The 19,968-nt window shown below is 40.4% G+C and overlaps 1 long non-coding RNA gene across 2 annotated transcripts in view; it reads right to left on the reverse strand.

Annotated features, from left to right (window-relative positions):
- LGALSL-DT (LGALSL divergent transcript) overlaps positions 1–19,968 on the reverse strand; it is a 63,923-nt gene that overhangs the window by 28,127 nt on the left and 15,828 nt on the right. The window contains exon 1 of one of the 2 annotated variants that reach the window (XR_001739494.3): positions 1,146–6,317. The exons of the other annotated variant lie outside the window; for it this stretch is intronic. This is a non-coding gene — a long non-coding RNA (LGALSL divergent transcript). Of the gene's footprint in view, positions 1–1,145; positions 6,318–19,968 lie in introns of those variants that run through there. 2 annotated transcript variants of the gene reach the window in all.

The raw sequence follows: 19,968 nt of genomic DNA on the forward strand, positions 1-19,968 counted from the left end.
AAGAGCCAGAGAGGCAAAGTGACTTGTACAAAGTCACGCAGGAAGCTTGTGGCAGAACTTGAACACAGGACCCTAACTCTTAGTCCAGGGATCTCTACATTGTTGCTTGCAGTCTGTCATTAGTTAGATCAGTGGTTTTCAAGCTTCATTATTAATAATCAAGCTTGCTAAAAACAGATTCCTCCAGCGTGCAGGTCCTCAGGTCCTCAGGCACAATTCAGTGTGGGATTCCCTGAGACATGGGTGCCTTGGGTCTCTAGGGGCCCAAAGCAGTGATCCCTCAGATGCACCAAAGTTACTTGGATGCTTGAAATGCAGATCTCTGGGCCCCACCCCTAGACACTGTGATCCATTAGAACTGGGTCGAAATCTGAGTTTTTAAAAACCTCTCCCAGTGAAGCGAAGGCAAGAAGTGGATGAACTTAGGCCACTTATCCTAACCTTCTCATTCCTTAGATCCCAAATATTCCCCCTCCTCTTCGTTCCACCCACCCCCACCTCCCTTACAACAGAGGAGAGAGTGGTATACACCAGCTCTCTTCCTAGCTTCCTTCTGTGCCACCTACTTTCAAATGTACATCACACTGCAGGTTTTTTCCCTAAGACATTGTGCTTGCAAGCTATTTATAAGGATAACTACCCAGTGAATTCCAAGGACTGTGTAGAGCCTAAACAACAAATAGGCCACAGATTCCATGCCAGGATTATTGGGAAATAATTCCTGGTAGATTTCATAAGTGCTTACTGGTTCTCTACATGAAATGTAAAATCTGGACCTGTCACATCCAGTTTCATTAATGACCCTGGGGATAACCATAGGGTGAACTACAGAATAGCTGCTGTGATTAATTTTGACTCAGGGCTTTAACACCATCTTGATGCTAACTAGTAGTGACCTGATCTGTCGGCTCCAGATGTCTGGAGCCTTGTGAGATCTGGCAACCAGAAGAGGACACTCACTCTAAATTTCCTTACAAAGTAGATGCCATTTGAGGCCTTAACAATCACGGACCCTGAACTTCACTACCCACATTAGCCTAAGTTAGAAGAGGATGGCTTTTGCCCACCCCCATGTACAGTGAGACGATGTATATGAAACTCTTTGCAAATTCCTAGGAGATATATAAATGCAGTGTTCTACTCACTGTTTTTATGAGGCCCAGATCCATAAGTCCTCAAAAGGTGTTCTTGAGCCCAGAGTAATCAGCTGGCACTCCCCTAAAGCACATAAACACGGACATGACTAATAATTGGCCAAAAAGAATCCTTCGTGGCACTACAGTTATAGTTTTAGAAGAGCTACAAGGATGATTGTTAATGGTAATGCTTCTTGTTATTAATACTCAAACTTGCCAAAAACAGTTTCCTGTGGGGTGCAGTTCCTCAGGCACAACTCCACATGGGGTTCCCTAAGGCAAGGTGCCAGGGGCCTCTGAAAGAGCCTCCCAAGGGCTTGCCTCCTAGGCCCAAAGCAACCAGGATTCTTTTGATACAAAAGATTTGCCATCCTAAAAGCATGGCTATTTTCTATTCTCTGACCTTTCTGCTTCCTCTATGCTCAATGTCTCAAAATGGAATTCAAAAGAGGAGCTAAAGGCTACTCATTTCTCTAAATAGACTTGTATTTAGTGCTCCAAGAAGAAATGTTATTCCTACCTCCCATTAGCACAGTGTCCCTAATTCTAGAGGTAATAGCTAAATAGCAGCTTGTCCCTATTGGTGCAGGAAATTCTTTTCTCCATTTTCAGGATAAAAATAAAGATTACTCAGACAGATCTGTGATTCTCCCTTGGCAGAGAGTTTCAGTGCCTGGGAACCAGAATCTATTGGATGAACATTTGTAGGCTTAATTTCAGAATCTCAAATGACAGAAACATTCTCACTGACTGCAAATGAGGACAGAATGTTTGGCTGGTTTTGATGTTTTCAACTAACACCTTTAAAACAATAGTGATGACCATCTCTTGATTATCATCATAGCAAAATGTGTTCTCAAACTTCCTCAATAAATAAAAGTTGAAGTCCTGTCGTTCAAAAAAACATTTAATAAATTATCAATACATCTTGTTGATATGCAAAGAATTATGCAAAGTACCTTGGCACCACAAAAATAAATGGGACACTGTTTCCACTGGGAGGACCTTACAATCAGACAAGACGTGAACGCTGATAAATATAAGTAGAATACGAGAAGTATCACAAAACAGGGACAAACAACGCTATAGGATTTCAGATGCAAGAGATTACTTCTAGCAGAAGGGAATCCATGAAGATGGCAGTGGGGTGACATTTGAGCTGGGTCCTTCAGCATGTGTGTAGTCTTGCTACTGGATCTGCCATGTGTTTCTCCAATTACCCATCCAATAAAGCTTGCTTGCCAATGGAGCTCATGGTTTTGACTTATGGTAGTTTTCTTTTGCTATGTAACACATTACCACAAACTTGGTAGCTCAAAACACACACATTCATTATCTCATAGCTTCTGGGGGTCAGGAACCTAGACACGGAGTAGCTGGGTTCTCTGCTCAGGGTTTCACACAGTTGAAATCTAGACGTCAGCCAGGTGTATTCTCACCTGGAGTTCTCCAAGTCCATTCAGGTTGTTGACAGAATTTATTTCCTTACAGTTGTAGGATGGTGCTCCTTAATTTCTTGCTGGCTGTTGGCCAGGGGTTGCTCTCAGCAACTTGAGGCTACCCTCATATCTTAGCTGTGGGGCCCTCTTACTACACAGCAGCTCACTCCCTCAAAGTCAGCAGGAGAATCTTCTCTTTGGGGAAGGCCTGAACCCTCCTTTAAAGGACTTGCCTGATTATGTCAAGCCTGCCCAGGGTAATCTCCCTTTTGTTTGACCCAAAGTAACAGGAGAGACATTAATTACATCAGCAAAATTCCCACACCTGTGCCAGATCATGTAACCTAATCACTCCAGTAAAATTCCATCATACTCACAGGTCCCTGACATTCAAGAGGAGGGGATTACACAGGGTGTCTATACCAGGTAGGAATCTTGGGGCCATCCTGCCTACCATGTGATTCAAGCCAAGTGTAAGCTTTGGCACCCATGGGATGACAGTCCTTACTGCGAATCCCATCTCTGTCAATAAATTTAAACCAGCAGGACTATAAGAGGTAGAGAAAGGAACAGTGAATATGGAAAGAGATGTGGCAGACTGAATTTTCAATGTAGTGTGTGTTCACCATACTCCATACATGTATACTACATTGGTACAAGATAGTGCATTGCACACTACACACACAGAGACACACACGATACATGCTGTTCCTCCTATGTGACACTGAACCCTCCTCGCATTGAGTGGTGGGTCTGTGTTACCCCCTCTTAGACTTGGACAGAACTTTGTAACTGCCTTGGCCAATAGAAAAGCAGAAGTGACACTAAATGACTTCTGAGACTAAGTCATAAAAATAATATGCACTTCCATTTTGTCTCTTGAAACACTCACTCTTGGAACCCTGCCACCCTGCTGTGAGAACACCAGTCCAGAACATAGAAAAGCCACATGTAGGTGCTCCAGCTGACAGTCCCCATTAAGGTCCCAGCCAACAGCCAGCATCAAACACCAGATGTGTGAGTGAATGAACTTCAGATGACTCCAGCACCAGCTATTGAGTCACCTTCAAGCCACTCCAGCCTTTAAGCCACCCCAGTAAGTTCCACGTGGAAGAAGGGATGAGCTATCCCTTTTAGCCCTGACCAAATTGCAGATTCATGAACAAATAAATGATTATCACTTTAAACTACTTAGTTTGGACTTGGACAGAACATGACTGGAACAGATGTGGAATGGCAAGCTGGACACTGGCATCTCTGTATTTCCCCAGAATCAAGGGGAAGCCCTCCTCCCATAACCAGGAAGGTGAAAGTAGTCAAAAGACTTTGAGGCCCAGCATTCCAGCAACTGCACAGCATTCTAATCTCCCCTGCTTTAATCTGGGGGCCTCGTCCATGCAGTGGATTAAGAACCCTAAACTACTGTTCAGAAGGAGCTTGACTCACTATTCCAAGGAAAATGAGAAAGCAAAGGGGCTGAGGAGACGAATGAAGAGCAACAGAATCAGAGGAAGAGATGCAGAGGAAAGAAATGCTGGCTTGAAAATTGGAGTCTGAAATGCAAATGTGCATGTGAATGGGGGCATGTTAGAGACAACAGAGATTTTAATAAATGGTGCCCACTAGACACACACACACACACCCCAGGCTGCCAGCAACAGACAGGCTAGCCTCTACCTCTCTTGCTCTTTTGGGTTCTGGAAAAAGGAATCTGGCTTTCAAATACATGCTGAATTTCCCATTGCCATGCCACATCCCTGGTTCTCTACAAAGCATGTAATTCCAGCTATTTGGCTGCAGCTCAAGAGTCACTGGAGTGCAAAAGTCTTCACATATGTGTTCTTGCTTATTTGCCTGGGTATGAGAGAGAGGATTTCTGAAGGATCCAGAAATCTAGCATTGATTGGGCAATATGAGGGGTTGCTTGGGACAGCAAGAACAAATAGTGTATGACACACCATGCAGACACATAGTATACACACAACACATTCACACACTGCACAGTACATTACATGTATGTCATATATACTATGGGTACAACAGATACACACTGCACACGCACATATAGCCAACTGACCTTAAGGAAGAGAAACCTAGTATTAGGAATGGTTTGACTTAAACACTTGTGAGGATCTAAGGAAAACTACACATCCTAGGATTATAATGTTTTTCAATCATTCGATCCAAGCTCTCCATTTTAAAGGCAAAGAAGTGGGGGTTTAGCTGAAAGTGGGAGCATGTGTTCTCATTCCTAGACTGGAGTTATTTTCTCAGATCTTGGTCCTAGGGAGGCCCCACTGTGCCTCTACTAGTTTTAGAAATATACATGTGAATTAATACTTCAGCACTGGTTATACACACACACACACACACACACACACACTCCCTTCCTCACCTGTGCAACTACTGTTTTAACTGAACTCTAGAAAAATAACATGAAAAAAATTGTTGCATTCAGATCAGAGCAAGGTGAGAAAATGGACACAATCAAGTTCTCTTGTCAGCCAGATGTCCCTCACTTCCCCACACTCAGAGGTCAACCTTCCTTTTGGTGCCCAAAAGACACAGTCCTTGCACCACAGACTCCAGGAGGCTGGCTTTTCCCTGGATCTTCTCAGGCTCCTTGGGACTCCTCAGGAATGCAAACCCACAGATCTTGCCATACAAGGCTGCTGCCCAGGAGTCATGCTAGTCACTTGCCATGTTGTAACTGGCTTCTCCAGGTGACAGACATTCTCCCCTTACTAGTCCCCCCTGAGCTTGGTTGGACAGGGCATGAACCTGCCTACTCAATTGAGAGAGCTTTGGAATCCTGGAGCCCAGTGAGAGAAAATAACTCATTTCCCCTCATCTTCATCTTCCAGGGCCTCAGGCTGCTTCAAGTCAGTTAATCATCATCTACAGAGATGCACTCTGCCCACTGTGAGGAACCTCCTACCCCTGTAACCAGGAAGGGTTTCCCCACAGTCCAGCCCCACCCAAGTTCCTCTGCTGGCTCTTCCCTTCACCATCCCTGCCCCTCTGGGGGCCAAGGACCCCTTTGCTGTAGAGGGGATTAAACGTGCCCTAGGCTCTTGCTGGGGGTTGAGGAGTCTGTACAGTGTGGTGTGACTGGAGCTCAGTAGTCACTGGGCATGGGACGGTGTCTGCTGTGGTTGATGGACAGAGAAGGACTGCCACGTGGCTCCTATGCCTGGCAGCAAATGGTGTTCTCACTCAGCTGGTGCCAGATGGTGGGGTCTCCTCATAGGAAGCTCCCCCTAGCTCCCTCCCCTCCAGTACAGGAGACTCCTGAGTATGCTCCCTGGAGTACAGAGGACAGGCAAGATGGCATCCCTCTCTCATTACTTTCCTTTCTTTGCATGGCATAAACTCTGTGCCCCATGACCCTTAAAGCCCTGTCTTCTGATTTGCAAGAACCTGGTGATATAGTTTGGATATTTGTCCCCTCCAAATCTTATGTGATGTTGATCCCCAATGTTGGAGGTGGGGCATAGAGGGAGGTTTGGGTTCTGGGGGGCAAATCCCTTCCGAATGGCTTGGTACCCTCTTCATGGTAATGAGGGAGTTCTTGCTCTATGAGTTCCTACAAGATCTGATTGCTTAAAAGAGCCTGGCACTGCCCTCCACTCTCCCTATTGCTCCCTTTCTCTCACCATGCAACATGCCAGTTCCTCTTTGCCTTCTGCCATGAATGGAAGCTTCCTGAGGTACTCACCAGAAGCAGACACTGATGTCATGCTTCTTGTACAGCCTGCAGAACTGTGAGCCAAATAAACTTTTCTTTATAAATTACCCACCCTCAGGTATGATTATGATTATGATTATGATTATGATTTTTTGAGATGGAGTCTTGCTCTGTCGCCCAGGCTGGAGTGCAGTGGCGTGATCTCAGCTCACTGCAACCTCCACCGCCCAGGTTCACGCCATTCTCCTGCCTCAGCCTCCTGAGTAGCTGGGACTGCAGGCACCCGCCACCACACCCAGCTAATTTTTTGTATTTTTAGTAGAGACAGGGTTTCACTGTGTTAGCCGGGATGGTCTTGATCTCCTGACCTCATGATCTGCCCGCCTTGGCCTCCCAAAGTGCTGGGATTACAGGCGTGAGCCACCGCACGCAGCCCAGGTATTATTTTACAGCAACGCAAAACAGACTAAGACACCTGGTTTGGAAGTTTTTAAAACAGCTCCATATTTACATTTTTTTCTCTTTGTATTCCTACTAAAACAAGCTCACTAAAGGAAGGAACCAGAATGCAAGGGAAGAAAAGAACAGCACAAAGATTAATATTTCAAGATGTCCTTTCTTTGCACATTTTAATGTAGAGCTCTTCAGAGATTCATTGCCCTAATTTTGGGGTCCAATCTCAGAGTACCCCTGTATGCTCTTCTCAACGATGACCAGTAACTTGAGAAACCAGGAGGTAGGAAACTTGACCAGGGCCAACTGTGAGAATGAAATCTGATCATGATAAACACCAGAGTGCCTGACACAGAGCAGAATCTAAACCTCTCTGAACTTCATTTTTATCATCTGCAAAATGTAGATAACTGTTAGGTACAGAGGTTAATTTCATGTGGAAATTTCATAGCTTGCACATAGTGGATGTTCAATAAATATTCACTAAACTTTAAAACACTTTATTTTTGCAGGAATCTGAATTATGCCCAGTAATGCCTAGGTTCAGATTAATTATTACAAAAGCAGCACGGTAATTCCTTGTTTACATAGTGTATATAGTGTGTAACTTTCCCCTTTTCCCTGGAGGCCTTAGTATCAGTCTTCAAATCAAGTACTTGATTTTATGTTCACATTTTTTTTTCTCTTTCAGTTCACAAAGGTGGAAGTGATGGCTCCAGAATCTCTATATAGAAGGTTTCAATTGGATTAAAAAGAGGCTTGAGACTTGAAGTTGCATTTACATAAAACACAGCTGCTATAAATATTCATGTGCAGGTTTTTGTGGGAACATAAGTCTTGATTTCTCTGGGATAATAAATGCCCAGGAGTAGAACTGCTGGGTTGTATGGCAGTTGCATGTTGCGTTTTATCAGAAATTGCCAAACATTTTTGCAGAATGACTGTATCACTTGACATTCCCACCAGTGGGATCCAGTTTCGCTGCATTTCTCCTCACAGCATTTGGTGATGATGATACTATTTTTAATTTTAGCTGTTCTGATAGGTGTGTAGTAATATCCCATTGTGACTTTTAATTTGCATTTCTCTAATGGCTAACGGTGTTGAACATCTTTTCAGGTCTTATTTTCCATTTGTATGTCTTCTTTGGCGAAATGTCCCTTCATGTCCTGTACTCATTTTATAATTGGATTTTTGGGGGTTTTACTATTGAGTTTCAAGAGTTCTTTATATATTCTAGATACTAGTCTTTGTCAGATATGTGGTTTGCAAATATTTTTTTCTCCCACTCCATAATTTGTCTTTTTGTCCTCTTAACAGGGCCTTTTGCAGAACAAAAATTTTTATATTATTATTATTGTACATATATTTTTTGAGACAGGGTCTCACTCTGTCACCCAGGCTGGAGTGCAGTGGCAGGACCTTAGTTCACTCAGCCTCCAGAGTATCTGGAACTACTGGCGTGCACCACCACGCCCAGATAATTTTTTGTCTTTATGTAGAGACAGAGTTTTACCATGTTGCCCAGGCTGGTCTCAAACTCCTGAGCTCAAGTGATCTGCTGGCCTCAGCCTCCCAAAGTGTTGGGATTATAGGGGTGAGCCACCATGCCCAGCAAAAATTTTTAATTTTGATGAAATCCAATTTATTAATTTTTACTTTTATGGATAAGCTTTTGTTGTCAAGACTAAGAACTCTCTGCCTAACCCCAGGTCCTGAAGATTTTTTCCTGTTTCTTTCTAAAAGTTTCATAATTTTATATTTAGGTCTATAACCCAATTTTTAGTTAATTTTTGTATAATACGTACAACTTAGTTTGAGGTTTTTGTTTTGTTTTGTTTGCTTACAGATGTCCTATTGCTACAGCACTATTTATTGAAACATATGTACCATCACTGAACTGCTTTTGCATCTTGTCAAAAATCAGTTGGGCATATTTGTGTAAGTTTATTTTTGAGTTCTTTTGATTATTATCATTATATAATACATCTTGAAATCCAGTAGACCAATTTCTACTACTTAATTTTCCTTTTTCAAAAAAAATTTTTTTTTTTTTTGAGACGGAGTCTCACTCTGTCACTCAGGCTGGAGTGCAGTAGCGCCATCTCCGCTCACTGCAAGCTCCGCCTCCTGGATTCACGCCATTCTCCTGCCTCAGCCTCCTGAGTAGCTGGGACTACAGGCGCGTGCCACCACGCCCGGCTAATTTTTTTGTATTTTTTAGTAGAGACGGGGTTTCACCATGTTAGCCAGGACGGTCTCGATCTCCTGACCTGGTGATCTGCCCACCTCAGCCTCCCAAAGTGCTGGGATTACAGGCGTGAGCCACCACGCCCGGCGTCCTTTTTCAAAATTTTTAATCTATTCTACTTCCTTTGCTTTCTCATATAAAATTTAGAATACTTTTATCTATATCTACAAAATTCTTCTGTGATTTTAATAGAAATTGAGTTAACCCTGTACATCAGTTTAGGGATAACCGACATTTTCACTATGTTGTCCTCCAGTCCATGAACATGATATGGCCCTTCGATGTCTTTATTTAGATCTTTGATGTCTTTCATCAATGTTGTACAGTTTTCACCATAAAGTCCTGTATGTGTCATATTAGATTTATACCTAAATATTTCTCTTTTGTTGAGCAATTATAAATGGCATTTTATTTTTAATTTCAGTGTACATGTGTTCATCTCTAGTATATAGAAATATAATGCATGTTATTTTGCATCTTCCATCCTATGACCTTGTTGAACTTATTACTTCTAGGATTTTTTTTTGTAGATTCCTTGAAATTTTCTGCATAGTCAATCACATTATCTGCATATAGAAATAATTTTATTTCTCTTTTACTGATCCATATACCTTTTATTTCTTGCATTATTAATTGAATAGAACTTCCAGTACTATGTTGAATAAGAATATTGAGTGTGGACGTCCTTACCTTATTCCCAGTCTTAGGAAGAAAGCATCCAGTCTCTCACCATTAAATATAATTGCAATAGAATTATTTTGGTAGATGTTCTTTATCGTGTTGAAAAAGTTCCCCTTTATTTATATTTTTGGGGTTTTCTTAACCATTAAAAGATGTTAAATGCTCTCAAATACTGTTTCCGCAGCAATTGATATAATCATGTGATTTTTTATTTCTGTCTGTTAATATGATATATTAAACTGATTTTTGGATATTGAACCACGCTTACATCCCTGGAATAATCCCCATTTGGTCATGATGTGTAACCATTTTTATGTTGCTGAATTCTATTTGCCAGTTTTTAAGGGATTTTTGTATCTATCACAGGAGACATTGTTCTGTAGTTTTTTTTTTTTCACTGTTTTGTCTTGTTTGGGTATATGGTAAGAGTAACTTCATAAAATTAATGGAGATATATTTCCTCCTTTTGCATATTCTGGGAGAGATTGTACAGAATTTGTATTAATTCTTCTTTAAACATCTGGTGGAATTCTGTGATGAAAACGTCTGGGACTGGAGATTTCTTTGGGGAGAATTTTAAACATTTCTAATTTAATGTCCTTAAAGTTATAGGGCTATTTAAATGATCTATTTCATATTGAGTGAGTTATAGTTTTTTTTCAAAGTGTCAGTCCGTTTCACTTCAGTTGTCAAATTTATATATGTAGAGTTGTTCATAGTATTCCCTTATTATCCTTTTGATGCCTTCAGGGTCTTCCCTGAGGTCTTCAGAGATATGCCATTTTATTCCTGATATTGATAATATGTGCCTTCTCTCTTTTTTCTTTGTAAGTCTTGATAGAGGCTTGTCAATCTGATTGATTCCTTTAAAGAAACAGCTTTTTGTTTCATTGATTTTCTCTATTGCCTTTCTGTTTTTGTTTTTATTAATTTCTGCTCTTATCTTTACTAGTTCATTTCTTTGTCTTGTTTTGGGTTTATTCTGCTCCTCTTTTTTTAAGTTTGGTCATGGGAGCTTAGATTATGTATTTGAGACTTTTCCTCTTTCTAATGTATGCATTAAATTTCCCTCTCAGCATTTCTCTAGCTATGTCCCACAAATTTTGACATGTTGTATTTTCATCTTCATGTAGTTCAATGTATTCTTGTTTCCCCTTGAGACTTCCTCTTTGACCCATGGATTCTTTAGAAGGGCTCTTTCATCTCCAAGTTTAACAGAAATGTTATTTCCAAAATAACAGAAAGTTTTCCTTTCTGTTATTTGTTTTTAATTTTATTCCATTGTGTTCAGACAACACACTGTATGATTTACTTATTTTAAATTGTTGAGGTTTGTTTTATGGCCCAGGATATGATCTATATTGGCATATGATCCACATGCACTTGAAAGGAATGAATTTTCAGCTGCGTTTGGGTGAAGTGTTCTTCAAATGTTGACTAAATTCTGTTAGTTGATTGTACTGTTGATTTTTTTTTTTTTTTTTTTTTGAGACTGAGTCTCACTCTGTCACCAGGCTGAAGCGCAATGGCACAATCTTGGCTCACTGCAACCTCTGCCTCCTGGGTTTAAGTGATCCTCCTGCCTCAGCCTTCTGAGTAGCTGGGACTACAGGCATGCACTACCACACCCAGCTAATTTTTTGTATTTTTAGTGGAAACGGTTTCATCATGTTGGCCAAGCTGGTCTCGAACTCCTGACCTCGTGATCCACCCGCCTCAGCCTCCCAAAGTGCTGGGATTACAGCATAAGCCACCGTGCCCAGCCTTGTTGAGTTCTTTTACATCCTTGCTGATTTACTCTCTGGTAGTTGTATCAATTGTTGAAATAAAGATATTGAAGTCTCCAACTATAATTGTGGATTTGTCTATTTCTCTGTTCAGTTCTATCAGTTTTTGTTTCACATATTTTTCAGCTCTGTTGTTTGTTGCATACACATTTAGGATGCTATGTCTTCTTGGTGGATTGACTCTTTTGTTATTATCAATATTCCCTGTCTCTGGTAATTTTCTTTCTTCTGAAGAGTACTGTATTTGATATTAATATAGTTAATCCTTCTTTTCTTTATTTAATATTTACGTGATTTTTTTTTCATCCTTTCAGGTTCACCCTATATCATTTTATTCGAAGTAAGTTTCTTCTAGACAGCATATAGTTGGGTCATGTTTTTAATTCACTCTGGCAATCTCTGCCTTTTAATTAGTGTATTTAGAAAACTTACATTTAATGTAATTATGGATGTTTTAGGGTTTATGTCTGCCATTTTATTTTTTCTCTCTGTTTTTCATCTCTCTGTTTTTTCCCCTCCCTTCTTTTGGCTTACTTGAATATTCTTTAGAATTCTATTTTGATTTATCTATAGTATTTTTAGTATATCTCTTTATATAGCTTTTATGGTGGTTGCTCTAAGTGTTACATCATATACATATAACTTATTATAGTCTACTAGTATCATAATTTTAATAGTTCAAATAAAGGATAAAAACTTTACCTTCCTCTAGATTTCTTTTTTTTTTTTCTTTTTTGAGATGGAGTTTTGCTCTTGTCACCCAGGCTGGAGTAAAATAGCACGATCTTGGCTCACTGCAACCTCCACCTCCCAGGTTCAAGCGATTCTCCTGCCTCAGCCTCCCAAGTAGCTGGGATTACAGGCATGTGCTACCACACCCGGCTAATTTTTGTATTATTAGTAGAGACGGGGTTTCACCATGTTGGCCAGGCTGGTCTCAAACTCCTGACCTCAAATGATCTGCCCACCTTGGCCTCCCAAAGTGCTGGGATTACAGGTGTGAGCCACCATGCTTGGTCTAGATTTCTTTACTCTCCCACATTTACAATATGATCATCTTAAATATTCATACATTTTAGAACCATATTATACCGTGTTATTATTTTTGCTTCAACCATACAATGTAATTTGGAAAACTCAAGATGAGAAGGAAAGCCTATTATATTTACCCATATGTTTGTTTATAGCGTTCTTCCTTCTTTCCTTCCTGATATTACAAGTTTCCTTCTTTTGTTGTTTCCTCTCTATTTAAAAAACTTTCTTTAGCCATTTTTTTATGGTAGGTTTGCTGGTGACAAATTCTCTTAATTTTCATTCATCTGAGAATATCTTGATTTTCATTTCACTCCCGAAAGGTAGTTTTGCAAGATGCTGGGTGGATGGTTCTTTTCTTTCAGCACTTGAAAAATGTTGTACCACTTCCTTCTGGTTCTCCTGATTTCTGACCAGAAATCTGCTGTCATTTTAACTGCTTTCTCCTCTAGGTAAAATGTCCATTTTCTCAGCCTTCAAGATTTTTTCATTGTCTTTAGTTTTCAGAAGCTTAATTATAATTGTGAGTTGGTGTGAATTTCTTCAGATATATTCTGTTTGGGGTTCACTCAGCTTCTTGAATCTGTAGGATTATATCTCTTGCCAAATTCAGAAAGTTTTCAGCCATTATTTTTTAAAGTACATTTTTAGCTCTGTCCTCGTCTTATCTCCTTCCGGGGCTCTGATGACACAAATGTTAAAGCTCTTGTTTTAGTCCCACAGGCCTCTGAGACTGTTTCTTTTTCTTCCAGCATATTTTTCTCTCAGTTTTTCAAACAGTAATTTCTGTTATTCTTTCTTCTACCTCACTGATTATTTCTTCTATCTCCTCCATTCTGCTGTCTCCTTCATTCTGCTTTTCACTAAGTTTCTTGTTTTCATTCTGTATTATTCAGTTCATTTAGTTCTTCTTTGTATGCTTCTATTTCTTCTATTTCTTTCCTGTGACTTTCTGTTTCTTTGCTGAGGTTTTCAACTTTTTCATTTGTTTCAAGTGTGTGCATGATTGCTATTGCTGCTTTTATCATGGCTGCTTAAAATTTGTCAGATAATTCTAACATCACTGTCATCTCATTGTTGGGTTCTATGAATTGCCTTTTTCATTCAGTTTGAGAGCTTTCTGGTTCTTGGTATGATAAGTGGTCCTGGATATGTTCATATTATGAGACTGGATCTTAACTAAACTTGGTTCTACTGACTTTTTCTGATACAGTTCTGGTAGGTGAAAGAGAGGAATGCTGCCTTATTCTTCCTAGGTGGGGGTAGAAGTCCTGGTTCCCCACTTAGCTAACAAATAGTTGAGCATGGAGGGCATCTTTATTGCTGCTGGGCAGGGTGGGAATTCTAGCTCCTCACATGGCCATTAGACACAGTGGTGGAGATGGCCCATTGCTGCTGAGTGATGGTGAAAGTCCTTACCATTCACTAGGCCCCCTCTGATACCATCCCAGCAAAGAGGGGGAGAGGTACCTCATTACTGCCAGGTGGGGATAGAAGTGTTTAATCAAGGTCACAAAGTTAGTGAGTCATGAAGTTGGAATTCAGGCCCAGGCATCTTAGTCTCCAAAGCCCAAGGTATTAACTACACCATCAAAATGCTGTGAGCTGTGATTATAACTACATACAAATATTTGTATATATATATCCAAAGACTGGAGAGTTATAGAGAGATGGGAAAAGTAATTCAACTAGAGTGATGAAATATGACCACCTTTTTTTTTATTTTTTTGAGACGGAGTTTCACTCTGTTATCAGGCTGGAGTGCAGTGGCATGATCTCGGCTCACTGCAACCTCTGCCTGCCAGGTTCAAGCGATTCTCCTGCCTCAGCCTCTTGAGTAGCTAGGACTACAGGTGTGTGCCACCATGCCCGGCTAATTTTTGTATTTTTAGTAGAGACAGGGTTCACCATGTTGGCCAGGATGGTCTTGATCCCTTGACCTCGTGATCTGCCTGCCTTGGCCTCCCAAAGTGCTGGGATGACAGGTGTGAGCCACCGCGCCCGGCCATCTCGTCCCTTCTTAACATTCCTTGACTGCTCCCATTTGCTTCTTCTTTTGCTTTCTTACTGACTTCTGAGATTTGAAATGCTACTTTCTTATTTGCTTCTGAGATTCTGGCGTAGTAAAACTTCCTTCAAGCAAGGAATAAATTCTACTATCCACATACCTGAATGGGATCAAATAATGGCATTACATACTGTTTTGTTTCTATTTGAAAGTTAAGTTATTTAAATTCAATAGTTTTCAATAACATTCAAAAGCTGAATGAAGTGAGACCTCTGATTAACAATCTTGCATCTATTTGTAAAGTCTCATATCATCAGCCACTCTAAAGTATCTTAATGCCAGAATATTTGTGCTGAATATTTTCCATGTTTTTTTCCAGATCCACTTACCTTTCTTTTTCATTCCACTTAGGGCTTCAGGTGGCTGACCTTTGTGGATTGCATTAACTGCCTTCTGGCAGTTGGGCTCAACTAATTGGATGCCATGCCAAGACACAAGAGGGTGAGTGGAAATCATCAAGGCCAGGATACTCATTTCCTTCCTTCTCTACTAGGTCATCATGCGTTAACTGTCTCCCATTCAAAGGCCACAGCTCCTGTCTATCAGCCCTTTCATACAACTATCTGTCTGAGTCCATTACCTTGCGTCCTCCTATGACCTATTCAGGCCTAGAAGTGATACCATTGTTGCCAACCCTGGAATACTGCACCATTCCTTGTTAGTTTTCCTTAACATGACCACACCTTTGTAAACGCTCCCTTTGTTGAACACGCCTCACCATGTTCAAGACTAACATCTTAACTGACAGAATATCCTATCCAATTCTTCCATTTTCTTTCAACACTCCAAGGGCAACTCCCATAAGTCTTTCATTTTTCAAAGTAAACAAATGTTTCATCAACAAGTTAACCTTTGTACTAATATCAATAATACTCTGAGATGCAATCAGTAAAACAAATATTCAATATTTAGCCTAAACTGTTATTTTAAAAAACAACACACAAATTAAGCAACAATGAACTTAGTACATTGCCAGTCAGTTCCCATTATACTGGCAAAAACATAAAAAATGACATTACTAGTTGGTGAGGAGATGGTAAAGCTGGTACATATACTTGAAGTATATTCTTACTTCAAGAGGTATAATCTTTGAAAACTATGTTAATTGGTATAACCTTTGAAAAGCCATTCAGCAATATATTTTGAAAATCATTCACTATACTTTTGATCCAATAATTCCGCTGCTGAATAGTTCATCCAAAATAAAGTAATTTTAAAAAGTCAAATGGCTTGGGAAGAAATAGATAAATAAATAAAATTAAATGGCTTAGGAGAAAATAGGTAAATAAAATTAAAGGGCTATATTAGTGTTTAAGTTAATTTAATCATTATTTAAAATAAAACAGAACACAACACTGGAAGCAACTCAAATATCCACTTACTGAAAAATTGCTGAGCAAATAAAATAAGAAAGTTAAGTAACAATAAGAGAACATTCTTATTATGTAATGCTAAACTGAAAAGCATACTACAAAATTGTAGTGATGCTATATCTATGTAAAATGATATATGCATGTGGTCAAAAACAAAAATCAAACATGTAAAATAAAGATAATTTTTTTTTTTTGAGACAGGGTCTTATTCTATTGCCCAAGCTGGGTTGCTGTGGCACAATCTCAGCTCACTGCAGCCTCAATCTCCTGGGCTCAAACAATCCTCCTACCTCAGCCTCCCAAATAGCTGTCTCATCCTCTCCACACCTGGATAATTTTTTTTTTTTTTTTGTAGAGATGGAGTCTCCCTATATTGCCCAAGTGGTCTCAAACTCCTGGGCTCAAACTCCAGCCTCAGCCTCCTGAAGTATTGGGATTACAAGTGTGAGCCACTGTACCTGGACACAGTTGATTTTTTTAAGATGATAGGATTATGGTTGATTATTATTTCTTTTCACTTATTTTGTCTGTACAGCTAATTTTTAAATGGGGGTTAAAGGACACTTCACTAAGATAATAATCACTACCATGTATGTACCATATTATATACCATCATACAGCATTTACATATGTTAGAAGGCTACTGCATGAGGCAGTGTAATCCTCATTTTAGACATGAGGAAACTGAGGCTCTGAGAATTAAACAAACTTGCTCAAGAACACAGTGGAAATAAGAAGTAGAGCACAGAGTCAAACCCAAAGCCTGCAGCACATAGCTGTCTGCTGTAAGATCTGGCTGAAAGGACTGGACCCTAAATCAGTGCACCCTTCCGGAGGCTTCCCTCCCCGATTGTCATAACAGGGGAGGAAAATTCTTGACTCTTCTGTTCCTCTGACCATCCCCACTGAATCTCAAGATCCTGACTGCCGGAATGCAGGCATCCCCATGTCTCAATTCTTGGCTTTTCCCTCTTTCTACCTCATCCCTCAGAAAGTTCAGCGATCTCCAGAGCTATAACTACCATTTCTCTGTGGATCTAGACCCCTTCATTCTCCTGTATTTAAAATCTGTATTTTCAACCACTTGGTAGGGGTTCTTATATGTTTGCATTTCAACCTAAACATGTCCAAGACCAAGCGCCCACTTCCCTCACAATGCTGCCTTGCCTCCTAACCTTCAACGTCCTTTAGTGATATGATCATTCTCCCCAGTAACCCAGGCAAAAACCTCTTTGAATTTCTCCCTGTTCTTTTCTATCCTCACATTCTGTCACTTGCCAAGGCATGTATTTAACAGATTCTTGCTTCACTTTGTCTATGCATCCTTCTCATCTTTGTCATTCCCACTGCCTCAATCCAAGTTCAGGCTCATTAACTTTCAACTGGACTATCATAATCCTCAGAAATTAGTTTGGACTCATAAATAACCCCACATTAGCTTTTGCCTTGCAATCACACACATATGCACACACACACACACGTGCACATGCATGCACACACACATACTCCCAGGCCCAACTCGCACCTACTGAATCAGAACCTTTAAAAGTACAATGAAGTCAGGGAATTTTTTTAAATCTCCAAGTGATTCTGATATAAAGCCAGGTTGAGGAGACCCTGACCTATGGTTCCTTGCCTCTAGTTCTTTTTTCAAAAACCCTCCTTTCCAAATTTTAATCTAGATTGTACATTGTTTTCAGATAAACCTTTCGAAAACATATGCTTACATAACTCTTTTCACAGACCTCCACTGGCTCCCCCTAAAGCACCTTCTGAAGTGTATACCTCCTAACAGCTATAATCCAGGGAGGAGTCCTGCATTAAGTTTAACCAGTTTTTTTAAATACAGAACTCCTCAGCTTTTATTATGCAATTATATGGTGTGAATTTTCAAGAGGGAGGGATATAGCATGTGTAGTTCTCAAACTTACCTGACCCTGGAACGTTCTCTTGTGAAACATCTCATTGCCCTGAGGTTCTGAGGAAGCTTCCAGGAAAGGGTAGCCTATAAGATAAATTCCAAACTCCTAAACCTGGCCCCAAGGTACCCTATACCCAATCTGCCTTTCCAATCTTGTCATGTGCATGAGTCCCAAACACCCTACTCAGATGAAGCTATTTGCTGTTCTACCAATACTTACTGTTCGCTCTCAGTTGAGGTGGACAAAGCATTATGGCAAAAGTCAAACGGAAATCCGCCACTCTGGATACTTTTCCTCTCAATTCACAGGCCCATTTCTATTTACCAACTAAAATGTATGTTTACATGATTTAGACTAGAGCCTTAACTGAAAAAAAAAGTCTAGGTTCTCCCTCTATGCTAAAGAATGGTATCAATAATGTGCCCACATATTCACTGCACATTCACAGATGTGTGCACACTAAGTAAGCTTGATTATTTGGTGTTACAGGGTAAGAAACTGATTTTTGTTTTTGATGCTTTTATTTGTTTACTAAAGAAACTTACAAGATTGGATTGCTGGGGGGGGGAGGAGAGGAAGAGAGAACCTAAGGAATCCATATGGACTGGGCGCCATGGCTCATGCCTATAATCCCACCACTTTGGGAGGCCGAGGTGGGAGGATCACTTGAGCCCACGAGTTCAAGGCCAGCCTGGGCAACATAGCGAGACACTGTCTCTACAAAAAAAATTTAAAAATTAGCCAGGTGTGGTGGTATGTGCCTGTAATCCCAGCTACTTGGGAGGCTGAGATGGGAGGGGAAGATTGCTTGAGCCTGGGAGGTTGAGGTTGCAGTGAGCTGTGATTGCACCACTGCACTCCAGCCTAGGTGTCAGAGCAAGACCCTGTCTCCAAAACAAGAAATAAATATGGCCAGGAGTATACAGACAGACTCCATCAAGCTTTCTTCCACTAAATCTGAGACCGTCAGACAAATATCTTCTTGCTTTTGGATCATAGTTACCATTAAAGCAATTCAATGATTAAGAGAGGAATTTCAGAGCTTTTTTGTTTTCTTTTGGTTAACCAAACCAACTGGATGTTTGAAAATCGGTCTCCTTCAAACCCCAAGTGCAGTTACTTCTTGGGGCAATTGAACCACTCTTGTTTAGAACAAGGGCTCCTTAGGTAAGCATCCTGCTCCAAGTTAGGTTACGTGTATCATGGTTTCTGCTGCACAAAACAGAAACCTGACTATGGTGACTGAAACAAGTGGTTTATTCCCTTGAATAAGAAATCTGGATGTCGGTTCTCCAGGGTTGGCCATCCAAGGATCAGACCCCTCTTACCTTTCTGTTTGCCCTCCTTATGTCTGTTGTGTTCCAGTAAGAAAGAAAGAGGAAGAATAAAGAGGAAAAGCCAAATGCCAACTTTTTATGAGGGAAAAAATGGCTTTTCTGAGATCCCCATAAATTAGACCAATGAGATGTAAATCTCATTGGCCAGAATGACATTACATTACTACCCTGAACAGCAAGGAAGTTTAGAGAATAGAGCCTTTTAGGGGACAAACTGCTACCCACCCCAAAATTGGTCCTGTTTGCAAGGAAGAAGGGGAGAATTAATATGAAGGAGTCAGCTGGAAGTATCACCAGAATGAAAGCACCAAGCTACCTACCCTGACAGGCAGAGCACTTGTATCTTCCATATGGACACATCCAAAAAGATCAGGCATCTATACAAACACCTGTGCTCTGTCTACCCACCTGTATTGAAATGCATATATGTAACTCGTATAGCTTCCAGAGTTTCTTCTATATATAGCACTAAGCAAATTGCTTATACAGGGATTACTCAACATTCCTGAGATCATCTAGTTATTGAGCATTTAAAGCCAACTTTCGGCATATATAATATAAAGCACAGTGTATTCTGAAAATCTCAATTCTCATAAAATCTGAATATCCTGATCTGGAAAAACTGCTTTTGCCCAGAGCAAAAAGATTGGGAGACATCTGAATGACAAGTTTTGTCTATAATTTAGTGAGTTTCACTCATTCATGCATTTGCACACTCCCTGAAAAGTAGAAGGATTGTCTCCCTTAGCTCGCTGTTGCTGAATCCCACTGAAACTATAGTTTTTCAGGGGGAATTGTTGC

This window comes from Homo sapiens, chromosome 2, assembly GCF_000001405.40.
Source record: "Homo sapiens chromosome 2, GRCh38.p14 Primary Assembly".
NCBI lineage: Eukaryota > Metazoa > Chordata > Mammalia > Primates > Hominidae > Homo > Homo sapiens.